Source organism: Homo sapiens, chromosome 3 (assembly GCF_000001405.40).
Source record: "Homo sapiens chromosome 3, GRCh38.p14 Primary Assembly".
Lineage (NCBI taxonomy): Eukaryota > Metazoa > Chordata > Mammalia > Primates > Hominidae > Homo > Homo sapiens.
In genome coordinates, this window is record NC_000003.12 from 172,922,807 (window position 1) to 172,947,965 (window position 25,159).

Here is a 25,159-nt window from a genome sequence, read left to right on the forward strand (position 1 = left end):
GGCTACTCTGGAGGCTGAGGCAGGAGAATCATTTGAACCCTGGAGGTGGAGGTTGCAATGAGCCAAGACCGCACCACTGCACTCCAACCCGGGTGACAGGGTGAGACTCTGCCTCAAAAAACAAAAAACAAAAAACAAACAAAAAACCCCAAAACCCAAAAAACTAAAAACTAAAAAACAAAGAGCTAGGCCACAGGCAGATCACATCCACAGCACCCGATACACTGGCTCTGCTAGGCTAGCCATGCACGGATGAGATGAAATAATGCTACACGGTGATGGTTCTGGTTAGCAAAGCTTTCCCTGCTTGCATGGGCCTGATGATGAGGGTAATGATGTGTGTGGGTCTTTAGGTTGGTGTTTTGTTATGGCAGCCTGAGCTGACTAAGGTAGAGATGGATTTCTTATTAATAGAAATATAGAGGAGATAATTGAAACATGGTTGTGGGGAAGGGGTAGCTTTGTGGTAGGAACATCAGTGAAAATGTGTTTTTGTATTTGTAATACATGGAATCGCAAATCGTGCAAACAGATTAGGTGTTTTTTAGCTTTTCCAAAATGCTGAATAATGTTATTGAGCAGATAAACTGCTGAACAGATGTTAAGTAGCTGTTTGTGATGACCCTCTTAGCTCCCCTTTTAAGGTAAGAACATCAAATCAATGATGTAACACAAAAGAGGGAACAGGAAGGAAATTCTTTAAAATTTCCAACTTACAAGCCTTTTGAAAAATATTAAAAAAGGAGAAATCTGCAGCCTTTATAGCCTATTAATGAGAAGTTCTCTTTATATACTTTCAGTACAATGGCTTAAATTTTGTAAAATAGCAGTGTAATTCAGGTCTTATTTTGGGCTCTTTAAGACTGAAAAGTAGAAAAGGCATATTTTTCCTGGATCATAGAAAGAGATTAGATAATTTACCTTATGGCTATATAAAGATCAATTGCCAATGTTTAGAGAAGCATCCAATTCATCAGTGTGGTATGAAGGCACTATCTTGAAAAGGTCTGAATTCTTGTGTAGGTAATGAGATGGTTATATGCAATAGCTCAATAAGTGAAATAGAGAAAACATTGTGCTTGCTAAAATTTTCTTATTGATTTGAAATGAGAAATTCACTGCAATGTTGAATTAGATATTAGGAAGGCATAAAGAAAAGGTTCTTTAAAGAGACACTATCCTAATAAGTGCTTGAAATTGCAAAGTGTAGCATTATAGTATGTTTTAGAATAACAGAAATAAAATCATTAGCTAAAATTTGCTTGTTTTTGCAAATGAGATTTACTATGAACGTTTCCAAAATCCCCTAACACTTGCACTATTTGCCATGTAAGCCTTATATACTTCTAGAATTCTCTAATATTTGTACATTGGACAAATATAAAAGACTCATATACCTACATTCAATTGGGTGCTTCTAATAAAATCCAATATTGGCAAGATTCGCTTCCCCATTGTCTCCATTTGCCTCACTGTATCTTCTCTGGTCAGACCGAAAGGTGTTTTATGCTCTAAAAATTGTAACAATAAACTTTTATACTATTTTCTCCAGACTTCCATTTCAAAATATTTTCTTTAGCAAGCTATAAACGAATATCTCAATATTAATAGATACAAAATCTTTAGTATAGAAACTAGTCCCATCCCTAGACCATATGTATAACAAAGAAAGATCTATGGGGAGAAAGGCAGAGGAGATGCTGCCCTTTCGACACTATCATTTATTTATTTTGTTGTGTTTCTTGATTGAGAGATCTAAGAGACAGCCTATAACAATTCACCTATCTCTTCAGACTCTGTTTTTCCTGAGTTGTGAAAAAATGCGTCATAAATGTGTCTGATTCTTGTCTTGTTCCTCCTAGGTATTATTCAAGTGTGCAGATCCATTGACTTTGAATGTAGCTCAAAGTTCAGATAAGCCTCAGAGGATACAGTGCCAGACAAAACACAAATACTTAATTATGTGGTTAGAGCTGCAGGAATAAATTTAACCTGGTCATGAATTCAGCCCATAAGTTTGAGATTTCAACTCCATGTGAATATTTTCTTGAGTTTTGAAAGTTTCGACTCGGATTACTGAACACCATTTAACTGTAATACTCTCCAGGAGATCTAAACTCTTGGCTAATTACATAAGAAAAGCGGGGAAGAGACATTAATACAACAACAGAGAATACAAGTAATTTAAGATTGTCATTGGCTATATTTTTGATTTCATATAGTAGTTTTATTGCATAATTTTCTTCTACCTCTGCTAATTGATAATGATGAAAACTAGTATTCTTTAAGCACTGTATGATCAGGCATTGATGACTGCGGTGGGTGGGGTAAGATGATTAGATGATTAGAGTGAGGGGGGTGGGCATTCCAGGATTGTGTGTGTTCTTGGGGAAAGATTTCCTGGAACCAGAATTCCAGGTATTGTTAACTAACCCACAAAGAAGATTAGAAGGAGTTAATTTTAACTCAAACATTTTTTGGGGCCCAAAACTCATCACAGGCTACTATATGCTAGACCTTGTAGGTTCAGATGATTTACCTGTGAATATCGGCAGCTTCCTGCTTGATATTTTTTCCAAAAATTTTCCATCATCTTTGTTTTTGAACCCAAGAGTCAAGAGATATTGTTGGGGAGGAAAAGATGACCAGTCAACTGTCTGAGGCAACATGTGGAGTGCTTGAAGATCTGAAATATGACAGAAAGAGAACTAAGAGGCTTTGTTATGGTTTTAATATTTTTAGGGTTTTCCCCCCCAGATTTCAGGAATTGTACTTGGAAAAAATAATAACTATAAATGTGAAAGGTATGAAGTAATATTATGTGTATCAAAAGGTCAAATAGATAACATATCAAAATCATATTTCATTACACTTTTCTTAGTAATCTAAGCATACACAAAGCATAACAATAAAATATGGCTAGATCACATGGTCATCTTTCCTCGTCTTCAGAATAATAGACATTCAGGACCAGCTTGCAGGCTTATTATTTTTTGCTTTGACTCTTTACAAGAGACTTCGATTTTTCTTTTTTTTTAGATGGAGTCTTGCTCTTGTCGCCCAGGCTGGAATGTAATGGCTCAATTTTGGCTCACTGCAACCTCTACCTCCTGGGTTCAAGCGATTCTCCTGCTTTAGCCTCCTGAGTAGCTGGGATTACAGGCGCCCGCCACCGCGCCCAGCTGATTTTTGTATTTTTAGTAGAGACGGGATTTCACCATGTTGGCCAGGCTAGTCTCAAACTCCTGACCTCAGGTGATCTACCTGCCTTGGCCTCCCAAAATGCTGAGATTACAGGCATGAGCCACTGCGCTCAGCTGAGAATTTGATTTTTCTCTTCCTAGCTTAAGATGTAAGGAAATAATGTTAGTTATAAAAAAAAAAGGAAAAAAATTACAAGTGAGAATTAAAATATAAAGCTAATTAATTTAGTTACCATCCTTCATCTAGCCATAGGAGGAAATTTAAAATGATAAATGTACTGACTATTGTAATTAGACTTGGAAATAATTCGTGTCATGAAAATGGTTCTAAAACAGACTCAATTCTTAATGACTGTAAGAGCTAATATTTACTGAGTACTTATTTTCTATCTGCCCCTGTTCTAAGAGTTTTGTGTGCACTGTTCTTTGAATTCCACATAATAACTTCACAAGGTTGGTGCTATTGTCCTCACTTTATGGATAAGAGGTTGAGGGACACAGATGGGAAGTAACTTGCCCAACAGCACAGCTCCAAAGCAGGCAAAGCCAGATTCACAACCAGGTAGTCTGACTCCAGACACCACAGGCACAGCCACTGCACCCTTCTTCAAGATCGCTTGGCACTAAGTTACTTTTGGGGTAGGGATAGAGGCCCACCTTACAGATGATAAGACTGGTGCTTGAAGAGGTTACAAACATACCCAAGATCACGAATTGAGCAAACAGAGGGACCAGAATTGAAAGCCCAAGTACAAAGGCTAACCTCTTGGGGACCTGGAGGCAAGATTCACTTAATTCATTTCCATTTTGAGTAACAAGGCTTTGGTTTATTAAAATAGATTTCTCAAACGAAGGATGATGAACAGAGAGGTAAGCCCTCTTCGTTTAACACTGCCAGAAAGGGGGAAAGGCAAAATCCCAAATATCATTGAATGATGGTTTAGTTAAAGGTAAAATATTAACGTAGACTCAGAACTCAAATGGTAATTGTTCAAATATAGCCTTCACTATTTGTCTGTAATACTTCTTTTAAAAATAAAATAGTACACCACGAGTGTTTTTTTTAACACCATTCCCCTTTTTAAGCCTCAGAACCTTTTGTCCAAACTAAAATTTTCTGACAAGCCCAATATTAAAAGCCAATAAAAAGTAGGGATGTTCTGTTTGAATCCTGGCACACTGATTACCCATCCTCACTACTGAACTCTGTTCTATACCCTACTCACAGATGCCACCTCGAGCTTCTCCACAGAACCTCAGTTTTTCAAAACACTGTTTGGAAAACACTGCAGTAAGTTATTTGTCACAGTTTGGTTAAGTAAACAGTGTATGTCTGTCAAATTGAGAGTTAAAATATATGCTGATTATTGAAATAATTAAAATATCACAAAATGCCTTTTAAACCCAAACACAGAGCAAAAACATCTTAATCCCAAACATATGTTAGTTTTTCTTTGGTGACTTAGGATCAAGGTCACCCCTTACTGTTAGTGAGGGCTAATATTCATCTGGCGCTTCTTCTGTGCCACACACATTATCAGGGTTATCTTTTTCAATCATGGAGTGGGAAGCAGGGCATATTATCAGGCCCACCTTACAGATGATAAAGCTGGAGCTTCCAGAGGTTCCAAAGTTGCCCAAGATCACACACTGAGCATAGGGACCAGAATTGAAAATCAGGCAGCTGGATGCCAAAGTACAAAGGCTTACCACTCAAAACTATCCTTGTGACAGTCTAGGGTCATGGTTATAAAAATCGACGGGAAACATGCCATAGGAATGCCAGTAAACACTCTCTATCTAGAAAAGTATACTAAATGCTGAAGAGTTCCCAAACTAACAGAGTGACTTTTAGGCATCTTAACATACAGATTGCAAGTATTAGATGCTTCTTCTTCTTTTTTTTTCTTTTTTTTTGAGATGGAGTCTTGCTCTGTCTACCCAGGCTGGAGTGCAATGGCACTATCTTGGCTCACTGCAAACTCCGCCTCCTGGGTTCAAGCAATTCTCCTGCCTCAGCCTCCCGAGTAGCTAGGATTACAGGCACGCGCCACCACACCCAGCTAATTTTGTATTTTTAGTAGAGATGAGGTTTCTCCAAGTTGGTCAAGCTGGTCTTGAACTCCTGACCTCAGGTGATCCGCCCAACACACCCTCCCAAAGTGTTGGGATTATAGGCATGAGCCACTGCACCTAGCCTTAGATGCTTCTTTAGTTGGTGGTTGTGTTACAAAATGCCTCTTTTTAAAAGGATGGCTCATTTTTATAAACAAGGTAAAAATGTGATTTCTACTTTTCAGTTTCAAAAGTGCAGGAAGTTTCTTTGCTTTTGAAATCTGCAGCTGATCATCACAGACACGCCTCTCTTTGCAAGCGAATACTATTTTGCTGAAATATTAGCAAGGGGAGAGCTTACTAGTTTTACTGAAGTTGCCAATAACTGGATTGTATGAAAAGGCAGCTGAGTAACCTCGAGATTTGGCATTTTCTGGTGCAGCACTATTGCCAAAACCAGCCTGATGTTTGAGGACCCCCTTATGTAGATAGATAGCATAAAGACTTTGAATGGTTTACCTCTTCTTGTCCTTAAATATTTGATAGATAGATAGGAGAGCAATACTATTATTGGCAGTGATTAGATGGAATAGAAACGAGTATCAGTACTATACTATGGCTAATTTATTATAAAACATGCTTGCAAAAATGTAAATATTCTCTGTTCCTTCTGATCCTATATGCTTCATCCTGTGAGTATTTGACCCATTATTAACTTCCAGTTGAAGTTTTAAAATGTAGGAGGCTCCTATATACATATGGTTAAATTTAGAAAAAAATTTTTTTTCAAGTATCATTCTTTTTCCATTTGTATGCAGGGTAAATTGCTGTTGTATGAACATTTAGCCTAACAGGTGGTCTATGACCCAAAATGACAACACACTTACCAGATGTTGAATCTCATGTAACATTAATTTGAGTGCTAATTGTTCTCGATTTTGTGCTCATAAACCTCTACCTGTGTCCGAAAAGCTCTGTGCCTCTGATGGATATAAAAGTTAACCAGATTATATTACCCTTCTGTAGGAAAGTAGAATTGATTAAAAAATGTCTTCTTTGCTCCTGTCATGTCAAAAGAAACTTGGGAGAAACACATCTTTTAATGCATTCCTTTACAATTTATCCCAATTGGAGATGAAATTTATATGACTATGACTGAATTTATTATTAAAAAAAAATCAGTTTGCATGTGTGAACAGCTCCAAATTTTTACCATTAGCAAAGTGGATGCTTTAGAAAATAATATCAAAGATAGATTATGCAGATTAAATTTCTCACAGAAACATAATCTTTCAATTTCTTTTCCCCTAGAGAAAAGATGTCAAACTTTCACTGAAAGAGGTAAACAGTTTTCCCTTCTTCAGAAATATTTTATTGTACTCCAGAAGGCTGAAACTGACCACCTTGCAAGTCCTCAAGCTATTCTGGCTTCTTGACTTTCTGGTATTATTGTCCTCTCCTTAAAAATCATCTTCCTGGAGTTCAGTAGTAGTCTCTCTCTCTCTCTCTGACACACACACACACATTCCCCTTTCTCCTCCTGCCTTCTCATTCAGTGCTCCTCACAGCTGTCCCCAGCTCACTGATACTCTCTTCATACATACACCCTTGGGAATATCTCTAGTCTTGTCTGTGGCTACTATTTTTAACCAAAAAATTGGACATCAAAGCTACAGTCGCAGCTGGAAATTTCCACCAAATTCCAACATGGCATTTCCAAATACCTACTGGGACATTGCTATTTGCTCATCACTCCAAAAGTTAGTTAAAATAGAGCAAATATGTTCCTCAAAAGTGATTTTCATAATCTCTACAACTTCTCTTTTCCTTTTTCTTCACCAGCCTATTATGAGGAAAGCCATTATTCACCCAATTATTCTGGCTTAAAAATTTGAAGCCATTGTTGACTTTTCTTTCCTCTTATTCCCCATTTAGTGAGTCTCTCAAAAGCTAATTAAACCTGCACATTGCAATGCATCCCATATCAGCCTGTTTCTTTGCATTATCATTGCTATTATCTTGGCCAAATTTCTCATCACATAACATCTGGATTATTGAAGAGTTTCCCCACCAGTCTCACTGCTACCAGTGTTGTTTCATGCCAATACATCACTACATCACCACTCGATGAATATTTTTGATACATCACCTGCCTTTTTCACTGTCACATCCTTCCTCAGGAACTCTGGAGATGTTTCCTTTCCTGGCATTCAAGGCTCTCAGCAGTGTGCATCTGCTTCACAATCTAGCCATGATTCTTACATTTTCTCTAGTATCAACCTTTATAACCAGCTCTGCTGATTTCACTGCCTTTGCTTATCTGGCCTCTGAACTTTTGCTTGTGATTTTCCACTCAGAAACAACTACCTAGTCTCCCCATTTTTCCTTTATTCAGTCTATCACTGTCCTTCCAGATGTGTCTAAGTCCCATCTAGCTCATAAAGGGTTTCCTGAATATTACAGTATCTTCCAATCTTCCATTCAAACTCTTTTTTTTTTTTTTTTTTTTTTTGAGATGGAGTCTCGCTCTGTCGCCCAGGCTGGAGTGCGGTGGCGCGATCTCAGCTCCCTGCAAGCTCCACCTCCTGGGTTCACACCATTCTCCTGCCTCAGCCTCCCGAGTAGCTGGGACTACAGTTGCCTGCCACCATACCTGGCTAATATTTGTATTTTTAGTAGAGATGGGGTTATGTTAGCCAGGATGGTCTCCATCTCCTGACCTCGTGATCCACCCGCCTTGGCCTCCCAAAGTGGTGAGATTACAGGCGTGAGCCACCTTTTTGAGAGGGAGTTTCACTCTTGTTGCCCAGGCTGGAGTGCAATGGCACCATCTTGGCTCACTGCAACCTCTACCTTCTGGCGATTCTCCTGCCTCAGCCTCCTGAGTTGCTGGGATTACAGGCGCCTGCCACCGTGCTCAGCTAATTTTTGTTATTTTTAGTAGAGATGGGGTTTCGCCTTGTTGGGCAGGCTGGTCTCGAACTCCTGACCTCAGGTGATCCACCCACCTGGGCCTCCCAAAGTGCTGGGATTACAGGCGTGAGCCACCGTGCTCGGCCTCAAACTCATAAGGAACATTTATGTTCACTCCAGAGTGAATCTCCTGTTTCATAGGGGCATGTCTTAACACCCTGACAACTCTTAATCCTCTTCAAGATCCCATCTTTTTTGTTTAATTTTTGGTTTTCATTTTTGAAATAGGGTCTTACTCTGTCACTTATGCTGGAGTGCAGTAATGCAATCATAGCTCACTGTAACCTTGAACTTCAGGGCTCAGGCAATCCTCCTGCCTCAGACTCCAGAGAAGTTGAGACTAAAGGTACATGCCCCCATGCCCAGTTAATATATTTTTGTTTAATTTTTAGTAGAGATGGGGTCTTGCTATGTTGCTCAAAGTGGTCTTGAGCTCCTGGCCTCAAGCGATGCCCCTGCCTTGGCCTCCCAAATCACTGGGATTACAGGTGTGAGCCACTGTGCCTGGCCACATCTTTAAATTATCTTCATGCCTCAAGCACCTAGCAGATGCTCAATCAACATTTGAATTTAATCTGAAAACATACATTCCCAAATCTTGAATTTTTAATGGTCCAAATAAGAATAGAACTGCAAAAAATCAAAACTAATAAAATATCTAGAGCTTCTGAGATATGATTTATTTTCTGTTACTAAACTTAGAAAAAAAATCACCTTATCTTTGTTCTTCATTTTGCCTAAACCCCAAATGGGTTCTGTTCACCTTATGAAGGGTGAGTGAAGTAAAATAATTTGTACTGTGTGACTCAGTAGAGTAGATGCTCAAATGAACAGAGCAGCTTTGCCTGGATGGAAAAATTAGTTTTATAGTTGGCTTGCTGCAGCTTTTTCTCTGGGAAATATGAACTCAGTCACAAAAGATTGGATTAATGGGGAGAGTTTGGCTTAGTGCAACCAATGGCAGCATCAGAAAAACATCTGCAAAAACATGAAATATAGACTGTAGATGAACAGACTCATCTATATATGTGAGGGATAGCTGTATTTGTTATGTAGTTAAATATCCATAAAATAAATTTTAAGCTCTATGGAAATAAAGCACTAAGCATAGACACTATTGTTATCTGTATTTTCTGTTGGACACCTCATCATAACCACAGCCAACAGATCATGAAGGAACATTGCAAAGCAGTTTCTTAAAAAGAAAAATCATAGAGATTTAAAAACTTTTTTAGAAAGATGCAGATTTGTTGGGGTCTATCATTACTTTTCTATAAGTTTCATTTTCTCCTCTCTTTTCTGGTGTCTGTGTCATTTCCCTGAACTTTGTCCATAACAAAATGTTCTGACATTTAGGTTAAAGCAAAATCTCATTTTTAAGGTCCTGATTGTTTAGTGTGAGATAGGACCATGTAAGTTTTATATGACTCCTTTTTACTGATCAGTTTCAGACTTTCGTTTCTACAGTACCTTCGTAATGCCAACACTTTGTCATTACTTCTTTCTCAATCGTGTTCTGAGTTTTATTTTGTACTCTTTTTAATGCTAATACTTCTATCTTGGAAGTTATCCACAAATTCACATCAGCAAGAAAATAGCAAAAGGTGGCAACTTTGAAGCAAAGTTGTTATTATTATTGCCCCCCCATAAATAATAAAATGGTCTCTACTTTTAAAAACAGATAGTATATTTTGATTTTTATATTTGATATCTGAGAAAGTCATATGTATACTATATAGATAATAAATTGTACAATAAATTATATTTCCCTTTGACCTTCATTATAATTTCAGAGTTATAGACAGAAATAGAAAAAAAATTGGTTTTCATTCCCGAGATTCCTAATTTTCACTTCAGGCTGGTGGTCTACTTCTCCAAGATCAATTTTTGTATATTTAAGTTTTCTCTTGCAACCCACATAAAAACTTAGAAAGACACATAATCCCACAGGAATTTTATACACAGCTCATTTCTCTTTCATTTGAAATTCTTATTGATTCCAAAGTTTTATGTTTAATGAGCTGTATTGGATCTTTATTCTGGGCTTTATTACACTGAAGTTCCTTGATCCTACTTTTATCAAAGTAGACTAGAGACAATACAAACATTAAAGATATTAAATACAAACATTAAAGATTCCCTCTCAATGTTTATTAGACTCACATCATTGAAACTGATGTCTTCTTGCACTGTATGAGAGTTGGAATGATCACTGGTTAATTGGCTATCTGGCATGCATTTCTCTCCTCCTCCCCTTTTTATTCCTTGGTGAATTCTCTCAATCACCCCCTACTCTAAAAGTGAGACCCAATTGACCAAGTCAATCAATCCATGCCATTTCCCTCGGTCCCTGTTATTCATTCAATCATAAGCATATGATGCAGTTTGGGCCAATGCAAAAGAGTGGGATCCGGGAATTGTGTGGAAGGGGCACTCTTATTCCTTGGTAATAAGTGAGATTTGAGATCTGTAATGGCATTTGAGAATGTTGCTATTATATTCAAGAAGCTAGCACTTGAGGGCATGGCAGAGTTAGCGGAACACCAGGTAGAATTTGAGAATAAATTCTCAAGTTGACTGTGGAAACAGAGTGGTGAGAGATAGTAAGTGAGCTATTGGTTGGATCAAGCTATGCTTAAAAGCAGTCCCACCTGTGGATCTTCAAGTTATGTAAATCAGTGTGTTCCAATGTGTTCTGCCCCTTTAAAACTGACTTCACTAAGTCAGTTTGAGCTGTGATTCCTACCACTTGAAACCAAAGATTCCTTATACAGGGATTTAGCTAGTAGTTCAATATATCTTACAAATAATATAGGATCCTTACTATAGATGAGATGTAAGACAGAGATGAAACTGTCATGTTGAATTTCTAGGAAGCACGTTTTTCTTATTTAAGAAAAATAACAGTTGGGGGATTTGGAATTATTACTTTTTACAGCTAGCACAAAGGTAGCAATATTGAATACATCCTGGTGATGCCATTATTACAACATTATTACAATATTATCACTGGTAACAAGACTTACATTTATAAGTATAATAAAAATAATAAATGTTTAACATAATCTTTCTTGACCTAAATTATAATTATTATTTTCCCACTTTGGATTAAATTCTACATCTCACAGAAAATGACTTGTGGGTAGTTAATTTAAACATCACACAATAAAAGTCATGTGATCTCAAAGCCTTAATTTTCCTTTCTGTTCAGACTGGTAACCTATTCACTTGTTTATTTGTTTATATTTCCCTTTGTTCTGGAAGTGTAATGACTTGCCCTACATAAATTCATATGAGATAAGAAAAAGTGTAAAGTAGTGTGTTTGAAGAAAATAGATCAAAAGAAAAATTAAGAGATAGATGATGAAGCCATAAGTAAGATTAATATACAAAATGTATTTTATAAGGTCCTGTATATTTGCTAAAAGTAAAGAGGATCGAATATGTCATTCACAATGTTCTTAATTAAAAAACTTCTATCATCACAGAAAAGCACAGTGATTTCCTTTCCTGGAACAGAGACTTTCTTTCTTGCTTTTTGTTGAAATTGGTTTATAAGTACTATAACTTTTCATGTAATAAGCTGAATTATTAATGATAATTTAAAAACAAAGAATTATGTACAAAATTATTATTACTCATGAATTATCATGATTCATAAGCAAATAATCTTATCAGAAATTTCCTGTAGTTAACATATATACCAATTTTGAAAGTCAGCAAGGCTTTGACTTAGAATTTGAGATGAGATGCTTCTTTATATATGGAAATCTAAAAGAAGAGACACCTTGATATATAGATATTAGATATTGCTATCCACTCTTTACTATTAGTAGTTAGTTTGGTTGTGATGAAACAACTTTTAATCTGTTTTATTCCTGTTAACCTCAGAAACAAAATAACTGTTTTTGACCACTATTATTATTATCTACGGCTTTGGAACTTTAGGACAAAGTAATAAGACCTGAAATAAAAATGAGAGATATAAACATTGGAAGTAAAGAGACCACCGTATTATTACTTAATAATAGATGGTTGTAGAAAATCCAAGAGGATAAACTGAAAATCAGTTAGTATAGACAAGAGTTCACTAAGGTATCAAAAAAGAAAATATATAAAACTCAATACAAACGTGTAAGATTTAAAGCTTGACATGGTGGTACGTGTCAATAGTCCTACCTACTTAGAAGGTTGAGGTGTGAGGATTGCTTGAGGCCAGGAGTTCAATGATGTAATGTGCTGTGAGCACACCTGCGAATAGCCACTCAAAAATAGCCATTGTTTGAGACCCCATCTCAAACAAACACACAAACAACAAACCATGTAAGATTAAAAAACCCAAAATATGTAGATATGATAAAATATGCAGTATATTGTAAACAATGGTTTGATCCATAATAGAAAAAACATAAAATATTAGAAATAAGCTTAGTAAGATATATAATTTTGATAAATAATTTGATTACCTAATTTACTTGACAAATATTTTTAGGCTCTTCTTGCAAGAATTTACAAATATAAGTCAGACGTTAGAAGGAAAAGGTAAGATAATAGAGGGCATGGTGTTGTTTACTATTTGGTGCCTGTAGTACATAAGTACACAGTCAATTATAATACAGCATGGTACATTATTAAATTAAGGTGAAATCGGGGTATCAGTAAAATGATAGAGATAAAAATTTGAATGATTGACAAAGGGAGAATAAACTTGTTTGACTTGTTTGGGGCCTAGACTAGAATTTTTTTTTCCTCTGGGAATTTTCACTATAGGCATGTGGGTTAAGGTTTGAGTTTATGCTACCTGGGTAGTTTAGGAACTCTCATGTCTAGGAATAAACTGCTCTGATTGGTAACATTCTATGGTATGGAAAAAGAAAAAGAAAATCCTCTGGGGAAGGATGCAAAATAACCCTAGACTGCACAGGATTCTCACAGATCAAGCCCCACTGAATAATGGCTTACATCTTACACATAAGAGTGGAAAAACACACAAAGATACAATTTTCAATGAGTGAGAGGTGGTGTGGTATCATAGAAAGATATTTGGTCTTTCTTCCTAGTTTCTGGCACAAAGCTCCTAAGACCTTTAGAATTACCTGAATTTGATAAGGATGATAGGAGTGTCTTTTGTTCTAATGAGGCAACATTTGGAAGGCCTATAATAGCTTCAGGATGGGGCTGGTCACTAGAAAAACCAACCAACCTCCAGGGAGGAAATAGGGAGTAAAGACTGAGTTAATCACTAATAGTCAATTATTTAATCAATCATGCCTACATAATGAAATCTCAATAAAAGCTTCTCAACAGCAGGGCTTGGAGAACTTCTGGGTTGGTGAACACATTGAAGTTATAGGAGGGTGATATTCTCAGAAAAGATATGAAAGCTCTGTGTACCCTCCCTCTTCTGTCATGCATTTCTCTATACATGCTTCTCTTTCATTTGGCTGTTTCTAAGTTGTATCCTTTACTTGCTGTTACTGCATTCACTGTTTTTGTTGCTCTTATGGTATTTTGTTGCTATTATGTTGCTAAATGGTAAGTCCCGAGTTTTGTGAGTTGGTCTAGCAAATTATCAAATCTGAGAAGGGGATTATGGGAACTCTTGATTTATAGTTGCTTGGTCAGAAGTATAGGAGGCCTGGGACTTTATTTATTTATTTACTTATTTTTTATTTATTTATTTTTTTTGAGACAGAGCCTTGCTCTGTCGACCAGACTGGCATGCAATGGCGTGATCTCGGCTTACTGCAACCTCTGCCTTCTGGGTTCAAGCCATTCTCCTGCCTCAGCCTCCCAGGTAGCTGGGACTACAGGCATGGGCCACTATGGCCAGCTAATTTTTTTTGTATTTTTAGTAGAGATAGGGTTTCACCATACTGGCCAGGCTGGACTCAAACTCCTGACCTCAAGTGATCCACCTGCTTCAGCCTCCCAAAGTGCTGGGATTATTATAACTGGTATCTAAAGTGGAGGGCAGTGCTATGGGACTGAGCCTTTAACCTACAGGGTTTCCAGGTAGTTAGTGTCAGAATTGAATTGCAATATCGAACACCTAGTTAGTGTCAGAAAGCTAGAGAAATAGTGATGTGGAAAACCCTACACATTTGACATCAGAATATTGTGAGAAAAAAAAATCACTTCAGAACTGGTATCAGAGGTGGGATTTGCTAGAATGGCCCTGACTCACAGAAGCATGTGGTTTGGGGAGAGAAAGGATGAAATGGTGAGGGAGGAGGAACCTTTGATTGGTTATTCATGGTATGGAGCAGCAGCTGTGCTTCAGTTAGTTATTAAATGTAAAAGTTACCAATGGAATTTAGCGGTGAATCTGATTCCCAGCCTTTTGGTTTGCTGAATACATAGGGTAATACAAACTAATAGAAAAAAATAAAATATACAATCCCTTGGCTATTATTATCTGTAAGAGCTAAAATGAAATTAAAAATGACTTCCAGGTTAAACTTCAATGCTGAACCAAGCACAGATTTCAGTTGAGCTGAACTTCAGTCACTAGCACCCAAAGTCTCTCAAGGGAGGAAATTATGCAGGAACAACTGAGAGTACCTTTAAGATCTCTGATTACTAAGAAGGTGGTCCACATTGAGGGGTGGGCAAAACCGAGAAACTACTAAAACTAGGGGGTAGAGTGTAAATATATATACCCAGGGGGTATATTTTATTTTGTAGATCAGTGTCATCAGCTTCCTTTACTAAAATGCATTGTAAGAATGACTAACTTAAAAAAAAGTAACTGTTTTTCAATTTTGTAGAGTAGGAAGGCATGTTTGGGTGGATATAGGATCCACTGCTCACTATGGAACCATTGCAGACGGGTATACATCATCCAGACAGACAGCAAGTTATTCCTGAAAGAACAGCCAGCCTGGTGAACTAAATAAAAGTGACTATAAGATCTGTTTATCCTGAGAAGGGGGGTAAACAGATCCCCCTATAAATGACAAGTGGGAAATCTCAGATGAAGCAGCTGATATGTTTCATATGCAAGCCACGTAAGATTGGCTTCATAATAAGCAGGATATTTATCCACTAAATATGCCCATTACCCAGGTTATGGTAAATTGGTGCCCCATGTAACTTAACTGTTGCAAAATGGAGCAACAGTTCTTATGAAATTTGCTTTCTCAGCTTCCCTTCATGGGTCTTACAGATGCTATAAAAACATTAGATTATTTAACAAGAGAATGAGGAGAGGTAAAAGGGAGAGGCGAAGGACTTGTCCCCGTGATTTGGAAATTGTTAAGTGGTTATTAAGAAATGGGGTGAATACAGCAAACATTGATAGGAGCAAACAATAGGGAAGAAGGAGAGAGTCAAAGGACTCACCTCTGCAGGTGGAAAGCTTTAGATGGTTATTAAGAAATGGGATAAATAGATGGACATTGACGAGGATGAAACAAAAGTCTTAATACAGCACTATACAAGGTTGGGTGGACCAAAGGGATCCTCTGCCAGTCCCTCAATAATAAAGCGCCTCTAACAAGTTCTATTTACCCCAATGTTAAGACAGAGCAGAGACCCCCTCTTTGGAGTCTGCGGGCCTCCTTAAGTGTGAAAATGAGAAAAATATCTTGAGTTTCTTCAAAAAAAGTTTCAGGCACCTAGGTAGCCCTGAAAAGTAAAGTAAATAAATAACTTGATAAGCAAAAATATAGTAATAGCTTAAAACAATAGCCAAAAAAGTTAGAATCACAGAAAGTTTGGTTCTCCTATAAAACCTAAAAATAACATCTTAATATACGTCTCTGAGTTGTTTTTCAGAGATCCAGACCCCCCCACCCCCCCGCAACAAATGGATCCCCTGGCATATAAACCTCAGATAAAGGAGAACTGAGGACTGAACTCTAACCATGATTCTTGGTTCTAAATGTCTTCCTGAGGGGTCTGGAGGAAGTCACACCCACATGCCAGAGCTAACATTCTTTTCTGCTGACCTCAAATTTTAAAAGAAAGCTTCTATTTGTTAACCAATTAGAAATTAAAAAGTCTTTAAATCTACTTATGACCCGGGAGCCCCCGCTTCAAGATATCCTGCCCTTTTAGGCCAAAACCAATGTATACTCTCCATGCATTATGATTTTGCTTATAACTTCTGCCTTCCTAAAATTTACCCTTGCCTTTAAAAACTGTTGCCTGCAATACGTCGGGGAGTTTGGAACTTACGCGTTAGCTGCCTGATCCTTCTTGCTTGGTGCCCTGCAAATAAAGCCTTTCTTTCTCCTACTATAAACCTTGATGTAAATATCTGGTCATAATGTACCAAGCAAGTGAACCCCAGTTTGGTTCATAAAAGTGTGGGGATTTTAAAAAGCTGGAAGGCAAATATTACAATGAGAAACCTGGTCTGTAGTCATTTGGGGCAATAGACAGGCAGACTAATCAAAATAATTATTGACAAAAGGGCCAGAGTCTCTTAGCTTGACCCCTGGCTGCAAACCCAAAATCTTATGCAAATGAATAGGTAAAATGTGGTGAAGAAAAGGTTATGGAATTTTTTGACACGGAAGCATCATGCACTATGGTAGCAAAATTTGTTGGTGAAGCCCTAACACAGACTACGATTACACTGAAAGAATATAGAAATGCAAGGGCTAAGAGTAATGTCCTTTTAAAATAATATTTGGTCTTTGTCCCCAGTTCCTGACACAGCTTCTAAAATGACTGAAATTTCCTGAGTGATAGGAGCATCTGTTGCTATTCATAACAAGCCCCTTTCAACCCTATCTGAGTATATGCTAATGAGGTGACTCTTGCTGGGCCCTTAGATAGCTTCAGGATGAGGGCAATTTGCCAAAGAAACCAACTATGTGATTAGAGGCTTGGAATGTTCAGCTTCATGCCTCCCCCACCTCTGGAGAGAGGAGAGATGCTGGAGACTGAGTTAATCACCAATGACCAATAATTTAAACAAGGATGCCTATATAATGAAAAATCCATAAAAACCCATAAAAGTTGGGGTTTGGAGACCTACCAGGTTGGTGAACACATCATGGTGCAGGGAGAATGGCATACCAAAGAGGGCCTGGAGGCTCCACATCTCTCACCCCTACTATCTTGCTCTGTGCATCTCTTCCATTTGGCTGTTCCTGAGTGATATCCCTTATAATACACCAGTACAAGCAAGCATTTTCCTGAGCTCAGCGAACAAATTACTGAACATGACGAGGGGGTTGTGAAAATTCCTGATTTGTAGCTGGTTGATCAGAAGTATTGCAACTGGTATCTAAAATGGGCACAGTTTTGTCATACTGAAGCCTTCAACTTGTGGAACCTGACACTAACTCTATGTGGATAGTTATCAGAATTGAATTGAATCTTTGGACATCCAGTTGGTTTTGGAGAATGGGAGAATTGATTGGTTTTTGAGAAAATATCCCAGAGATGGCAAAACAACAAATAGCAGAATTAGCTTTCCGAAATCTTGAGAAATAGCACTATTAGATACAAAATATAAAACGTGTGTAAAGTACTAAATATAATAAAAATCACAAGAATAAAACTAGGTTTTTAAAAGTTGCCTTGAAAAAGATTTTAAACACATGGACACATAGAAGGGAAAAACACACACTGGGGCCCCATAAGACAAGTTTACCTATATAACTTGAACATGTACCTCTGAACTTAAAATAAATGTTAAATTTAACAAAAGGGCTGGGTGCAGTGGCTTATGCCTGTAATCTTAGCACTTTGGGAGGCTGAGGCAGGCGGATTGTCTGAGCTCAGGACAGACCAGCCTGGGCAACATGGAGAAACCTTGTCTCTACTAGCATACAAAAAATTAGCTGGGCGTGGTGGCACGTGCCTGTAATCACAGCTACTCGGGAGGCTGAGGCAGGAGAATTGCTTGAACCCGGGAGGCGGAGGTTGCAGTGAGCCGAGATCATGCCACAGCACTCCAGCCTGGGTGACAGAGAGAGACTCCATCTCAAAAGATAAAAATAAAAATAAAATAAGCAAATTACATAAAAAAAAGATCTCAAGAGAACTTCTAGGAGTGGAAAAACAATTACTGGAATGAAAATCTTGAATCTATTAAGGAGTGATCTAGACAGAGCTAAAGGAAGGATGAGAATGCAGATCTGAGAAAATTTCAAAATGAAGCAGACAAAGACATGGAGAACATGGACAATTTAATAAGCAGCCTCAATGATCTGGAGGGTAGAATAAATAAAAGTAACAAATGTCCAGTTAAAATTCTTGAATGAGAGAATAGAAAGAATCAGGGACTAAAGTATTAAAAAGGAAACGGATTGCAGTTTTTCAGAATTTATGAAAGACTTGACCCCTTAGATTGTGAACACAGTGACCAAGCAGGTTAAGAAAAAAAAATTATTCCTGGACACATCTGTAGTTAAACTGTAGAACTTCAAATGAAGACATGATCTTAAAAGCATCAGAGATAAAAGAAGATTATCTACAAAGGAATGAGATCTGACTTCCCAACAGCAATGACACAAGTCAGAAGACAGTGAAATAATATCTTCAAGGCACCAATATTTTAGATTAGAAATTTATAACCTGTTGAACTGTTATCTAAGAACTAGGGTGAATTAGAGACATTTTAGACAATCAGAAATGAAGGGAGTATACTTCCAACAGACTCTCACTTTGGGAACTTCCAAAGGATGCACTTTAGAAAGAAGGAAATAAAATTCAGAAGAACTGAAATGCGAGAAAAAATTGGTAGACATGTGTATATAATAATTATAGATAAATGTTGATTATGTAAACACATTTATGACCATAATAATTAATTTAAGGATGGTGTCAGGGAAAATATCAGGTTAGAATAAAAATATATTATGTATAATATTAGGGGGTGATTTTCGTTAAAGTATTCTATGACCTTTATCTTGCTCAGTTGATAATCATGAAACTACGATTTTGTTAAGATGTCTATGTTTACAATAACATTTAATGTTATTGTAAATAAAGAAAAAATGAATAAAAGAAATCTTGAAGAATATGAGAGAAGGCAGGTTAGGAGGGGGGAAAAGCATGTGGACTAAAGCCTATAATATGGCAGAAATAACCAAACATAACACAGAAATCGACAAAGATCTATTTAGCACTTACTATTTGTCAGGCACTATTTAAGCCTATGGTGAACAGACAGAGATTTCCATGTCTCAGGGACTTATACTCTGGCAGAAAAACTCAATCAATCAACTCAGGAATTAAAATAAGCTTACTTATTCAGACAGAGATTGACTACATAAATAAGTAATTAAATAGATAAATAAGTCAGCTGTATGTCATTTTTAAGAGAATATTTTAACACGAGGGCATAAAATGTTGAAAGTAAAAGGATGTGAAAAAGAAATACTAGAAAAATACTAATCAGAATAAAACTAGTGAATTTATTAATATCAGACAAAATAGATTTTAATACAAAAAACGTTAACATTAAGGTGAAGAGTGTAATTACATAACAATAACATACAATTAATAATCTTAAAACAGGCACATTGATGCTGAAACAAAAAGTGAAAACTGACAAATTATAAGAATAATTGACAAACCTACCACTATTTTGGATTACTTTAACATCTTTTGTTTCCTATTTACTGATGTCGAGTAGACAAAAAATTGTAGCATCTAAAAGATATAAGTAATTTTCAAGCTTGATCCAGGTAATGAATACATTAAAAAACCCTGCATTCCAAAATTAAAAAATGACATTCTTCTTGAGCACAAATGGTATATTAATGACAGTTGACCATATATTAGGGCGTAAACCAACCTTAACAATTTCAGGAATTATTAAAATTTAGATTATGTTTTTGAACATGATGCAATTAGGTTAAAAATCAATAACAAAGGTAGCTAAACGTTTCTATACATTCAGACATTAAAAACTGTGTATTTAAGTAAGTCATGGCTCAAAGAAGATTTCATAATGAAAGTTAGAAAATATTTTGAGATGAAATACAATGAAAGTGTTTTTCAAAATTTTTAGGGCACAACAAAAATCATTCTTGGAGAGAAATTTATAGTCTTTACTAAAAACAAGGGAAGATGTTGAAAATTATTGACCCTAGAATTCAGTGAAGAAAATTAAGCAATCTGTTATAAGTTTCCAAAACAGGACATAAAAGAAATAATAAATATAAGAGCAGAAAGGAGTTAAACGTAAGAAAAAGGATGCAATAGAAAGGTTCGACAATGTCAAAACATCTGGCATAATATGAATAAACGACAACTTTTAAACCTGATAAAGAATACTTATCAAAGATCTACAGCAAACTTTATACTTAGTGGTGGAAATTTAAGTCTTTTTAAATGGAACAACATGTAAATGCCTGCTATCACTCCTTTATTCAACCTTGTGTTGCAATCCCAGCCATAACAGTAGTAGAATGAACAAACCAAAAAGAAAGAATGAATATCTATGTACTGGAACAGGGATGGATTTCTTAAATATGATACCAAACCACAAGCTGTTAGGCTGTGGTGGGCAAATCACTTGAGGTCAGGAGTTTGAGACCAGCCTGGCCAACATGGTGAAACCCCATCCCTACTAAAAATACAAAATGTAGCTGGGCATGGTGGCGCATGCCTGTAATCCCAGCTACTCGAGAGGCTGAGGTACGAGAATTGCTTGAACCTGGGAGGCAGAGGTTGCAGTGAGCCAAGATTGCGCCATTGCACTCCAGCCTGGGTGACAGAGCAAGACTCCATCTTAAAAACAAAAACAGAAAGAAAATTATCAAATAACATTAAAATTTAAATCTCACTTCATCAAAAGTCACCGCAGAAAAGTCAAGCTCCTTGATGAGATAAAATATAAAAACTTCAATAAATCAATAATAAAACTATTCAAAAAACCCAAATGAACAAAGAGCACAAACATGCAAATTGTAAGAATATAGAAATAGTAAAAATACCATTTTCATAAATTTGAAAATTTTTAAGAATTCTTCTATTTATCCTTTAAGGAAATGGAACCACAGGACAAATAATGACAACAAAGATGTTCAACCCAATTAACAGTCATGGAAATGCAGTGAAAAGGCAACCTATAGAATGGGAGGAAATATTTGCAAATCATACATCTGACAAAGAATTTGTATCTAGAATACATAAAGAACCCCTACAATTCGAAAACAGCAACAAAAAACAACTCAATTAAAAAATTGGGAAAGGACTTAAACAGACATTTCTTCGAAGAAGACATAAAAATGGCCAATAAGCACATGAAAGATGCTCAACATCACTAATCATTAAGGAAATGCAAATCAAAGCCACAGTGAGATACCACTTCATATCTGTTAGGATGCTATTAGCAAAAACCAGAAAATAGCAAGTGTTGATGAGGACATGGGGAAATTGGAACACTCGTGCACTTCTGGTGAGAATGTGAAATGGTGTGGCCACTACAAGAAATGACATGACACCTACTCAAAAAATTAAAAATAGATTTACCATATGATCCAGCAATTTATATGCCAAGAATAATTGAAAGCAGGGAAATACTTGTATACCCATGTTCATAGCAGCATGATTCACAGTAGCCAAAAGGTGGAAGCACCGAGTTTTTCTCAGTGGAAAAATAGATAAACAAAATGTGATATACACATACAATGGAATATTATTTAACCTTAGAAAGGAAGGAAAATCTGACATTGGCTACAATATGGATGAACTTTGAAGACATTATGCTAAGTGAAATAAGCCAGACACAAATGGACAAATACTATATGATTCCACTTGGAGCTGTCAAATTCACAGAGACAGAAAATAGAATAGTGTTTGCTAGGGGATCTGGGGGGAGAAGAAAATGGAGAGTTATTATTTAATGGGTAGAGTTTCAGTTTGGGAAAATGAAAAGGTTTTGTAGATGGATGGTGGTAATGGTTGCACAATAATGCGAATGTAGTTAATGCTGCTGATCTGTACACTTAAAAGTGTTTAAAATGGTACATTTTACATTGTGTATATTTTACTATAATAAAAAAGGAATAATAAACAAATTTATGATAGTGATTACCTCTGGAGGGGAGGGAGTAGATTAGGATCCGAAAAATCTTGGGAACTTCAACTATACAATACTTTTAATGTTTTATTTCTCAAATAAGATGGTAATTATGTAGGTGTTCATTATTTTTGTGTCTTTTAGCATATTTCAAATATTACATAACTAAAAAAATAAAAGCTTCTGATTCTTGTAATCTCAGAACAATTTGGACCAACCTTCTTTCTGAAGACAACTAATATTCCTTGAAGAAATCTAAAAAGTAGATTTTTCTAAGAACATCAAAGAGCTAATAAGGAGGAGGCAGAGCAAGATGTCCAAATAGAACTCTCCAGTGATTGTCTCCCTCATGGGAACACCAAACTGAACAACTATCCATACAAGAAATACCTTCATAAGAACAAAAAATTAGATGGACCATTATAGTCCTTGATTTTAACATCACATAAAGGAAAGAAGCACAAAAGAGGGAAGGGAAGATAGTCTTGAATTGCTGATGTCACCCCTTCCCCATTCCCTGGCAGTAGAGAGAGACTGTGTGCGTGGTGGAGGGAGAATACAGTAATTGTGGGACTTTGTATTGGAACTCAGTGCTGCCTTGTCACAATGGAAAGCAACATGGGGGCAGAACCCAGTCAGCACCCATGGAGGGAGCATTTAGATCAGCCCTAGCCAGGGAAGAATTCTCCATCCCAGCGGTCAGAACCTGAATTCTGGCTAGCCCCACCACCATGGGCTAAAGAAGCTCTGGGGTTCTAAATAAACTTGAAAGGTAGTCTAGGCTACAAGGACCTCAATTATTGGGTAAGTTCTGGCGCTATGCTGGATTTGGAGTCAGTGGACTTGGGGTACATGACACTAGGGAGACACCAGCTGGGGTGGCTATGGGAGTTCTTGTGTCACCTCTCCCCCAACCACAGGTAGTACAGCTCACAGCTCTGGGAGAGACTCCTTCCTTCTGCTTCAGAAAGGGAGAGGGGTGAGTAAAGAAGACTTTGTCTTGCAACTTGGATACCAGCCCAGCCACAGGATAGGGCACTATTCTCTCAGACAACATTACCAGACACAACCTGAGCTGGAAGGGAACCTGCTGCCTTGAAGGGAAGAGCCCAGTCCTAGCAGGGTTCATCACTTGCTGATTAAAGAGCACTTTGGCCTTGAATAAACATCAGAAGTACCCAGGGAGTACTCACCGGGCACCTTGGGTGAAATCCAGGCCTATACTGGATTCAGATGTGGCCACATTCCTAGCTGTGGTAGCCATGGGAAGAGATTCCTTCTCCTTTAGGAAAGGAGAGAAAAGAGTAAAGGGAACTCTGTTTTGCAGCTTGGGCAAGAGCTTAGTCAAGCAGGCTCCTGTGGTCCCCAGTTTCAGGCCTTGGCTACTAGACAGTATTTCTGGATCCGCCCTGGGCCAAAGGGAAGCCTCCTGCCCTGAAAGGAGAGACCCAGCCCTGGGAACATTCACCACAAGCTGGCTGAAGAGCTCTTGGGCCTTGAGTGAACACTGACAGTAGCCAGACAGTACTAGCCATGAGCCTGGGTAGCAGTGGCCCCAGGGGGAGACTCCTTCTGTATGAGCAAATGAGACAGAAAAATGGAAAGGACTTTGTCTTGTGGCTTGGGTGCCAGCTCAGCCACGTAGAACATAGTACCAAGTAGATTCCAAAGGTTCCCCTCTCCAGGCCCTGGCTCATGGACAGCATTTCTGGACTAGAGTTGGGCCAGCAGGGAACTCACCACCCTGAAGGGAAGGACGCAAGCCTGGCTGGATTCACCACCTGCGGACTGAACAGCCCTTGGGCCTTGAGTGAATATAGGTGGTAGCCAGGTAGTGACTGGGTGGGTCTTGGGAGGGACCCAGTGCTTTGCAGTCTTTGCATCTTATCCAGCATAGTCCCAGTTGTCATGGCCATAGGAGTGCTTGTATCACCTCTCCTGAAGCTTCAGGCAGCTCAGCGCAGAGAGAGAGACTCCACTTGTTAGGGGAAAGGAAAGAGAGAGAATTAGAGTCTCTACCTGGTAGTCCAGGGAATGCTCCTGGATTTTACCCAAGACCACCAAGGTGGTACCTCTAATGAGTCTGCCAGAGTCACAGTGTTACAGGACTTTAGGTGCCCCCTAATGCAGAGATGGCTGCAGGGATCAAAGATTTAGATCACAACACTCAATTCTCTTTAAATACTTGGAAAACTTTCCCAGAAAGGATAGGTACAAACAAGCCTAGACTGCAAAGACAACAATAAACACTTCTTTAATAACTCTTCAAATAAACTCTTTATGCCCAGACATTGATAAACATCTACAAACATCGAGAACATCCAGGGAAACATGACCTCACCAAACAATCTACATAAGGCACCAGGGAACCCACCTTGGATTTCCTTTACGTAATGTATGCTCTGAGTACATGTGGGTTTGACTGGATTTGTTCATACCTTTCCAGAAACACCTCTCCATGTTAGCTTACGTTTCGCTTGCATTCACAGAATATCTGAATATTGTTTACAATAGCAACACGGTGGTGTAGGGGTAGAGGTGCTGATTAGAAGTGGAATACTATGCAGCCATAAAAAGGATGAGTTCTTGTCTTTGCAGGGACATGGATGAAGCTGGAAACCATCATTCTCAGCAAACTAACACAGGAACAGAAAACCAAACACCGCACGTTCTCACATATAAGTGGGAGTTGAACAATGAGAACACATGGACACAGGGAGGGGAACATCACTCACCGGGGCCTGTCGGGGAGTGAGGGGCAAGGGGAAGGAGAGCATTAGGACAAATACCTAATATATGTGGGGTTTAAAACCTAGATGATGGGTTGATAGGTGCAGCAAACCACCATGGCACATGTATACGTATGTAACAAACCTGTACATTCTGCACATGTATCCCAGAACTTAAAGTAAAATTAAAAAAAGAAAAAAAGAAT

The 25,159-nt window shown here is 37.7% G+C and overlaps 1 protein-coding gene across 3 annotated transcripts in view; it reads right to left on the reverse strand.

Annotated features, from left to right (window-relative positions):
• SPATA16 (spermatogenesis associated 16) overlaps positions 1-25,159 on the reverse strand; it is a 251,879-nt gene that overhangs the window by 33,450 nt on the left and 193,270 nt on the right. For all 3 annotated transcript variants that reach the window (NM_031955.6, XM_006713778.4, XM_017007308.3), the window contains exons 7-8: positions 2,540-2,686; positions 1,402-1,511 (exon numbers count right to left, since the gene is read on the reverse strand). In NM_031955.6, the coding sequence (NP_114161.3) occupies positions 1,402-1,511; positions 2,540-2,686 (257 nt within the window). The remainder of the gene's footprint in view (positions 1-1,401; positions 1,512-2,539; positions 2,687-25,159) is intronic.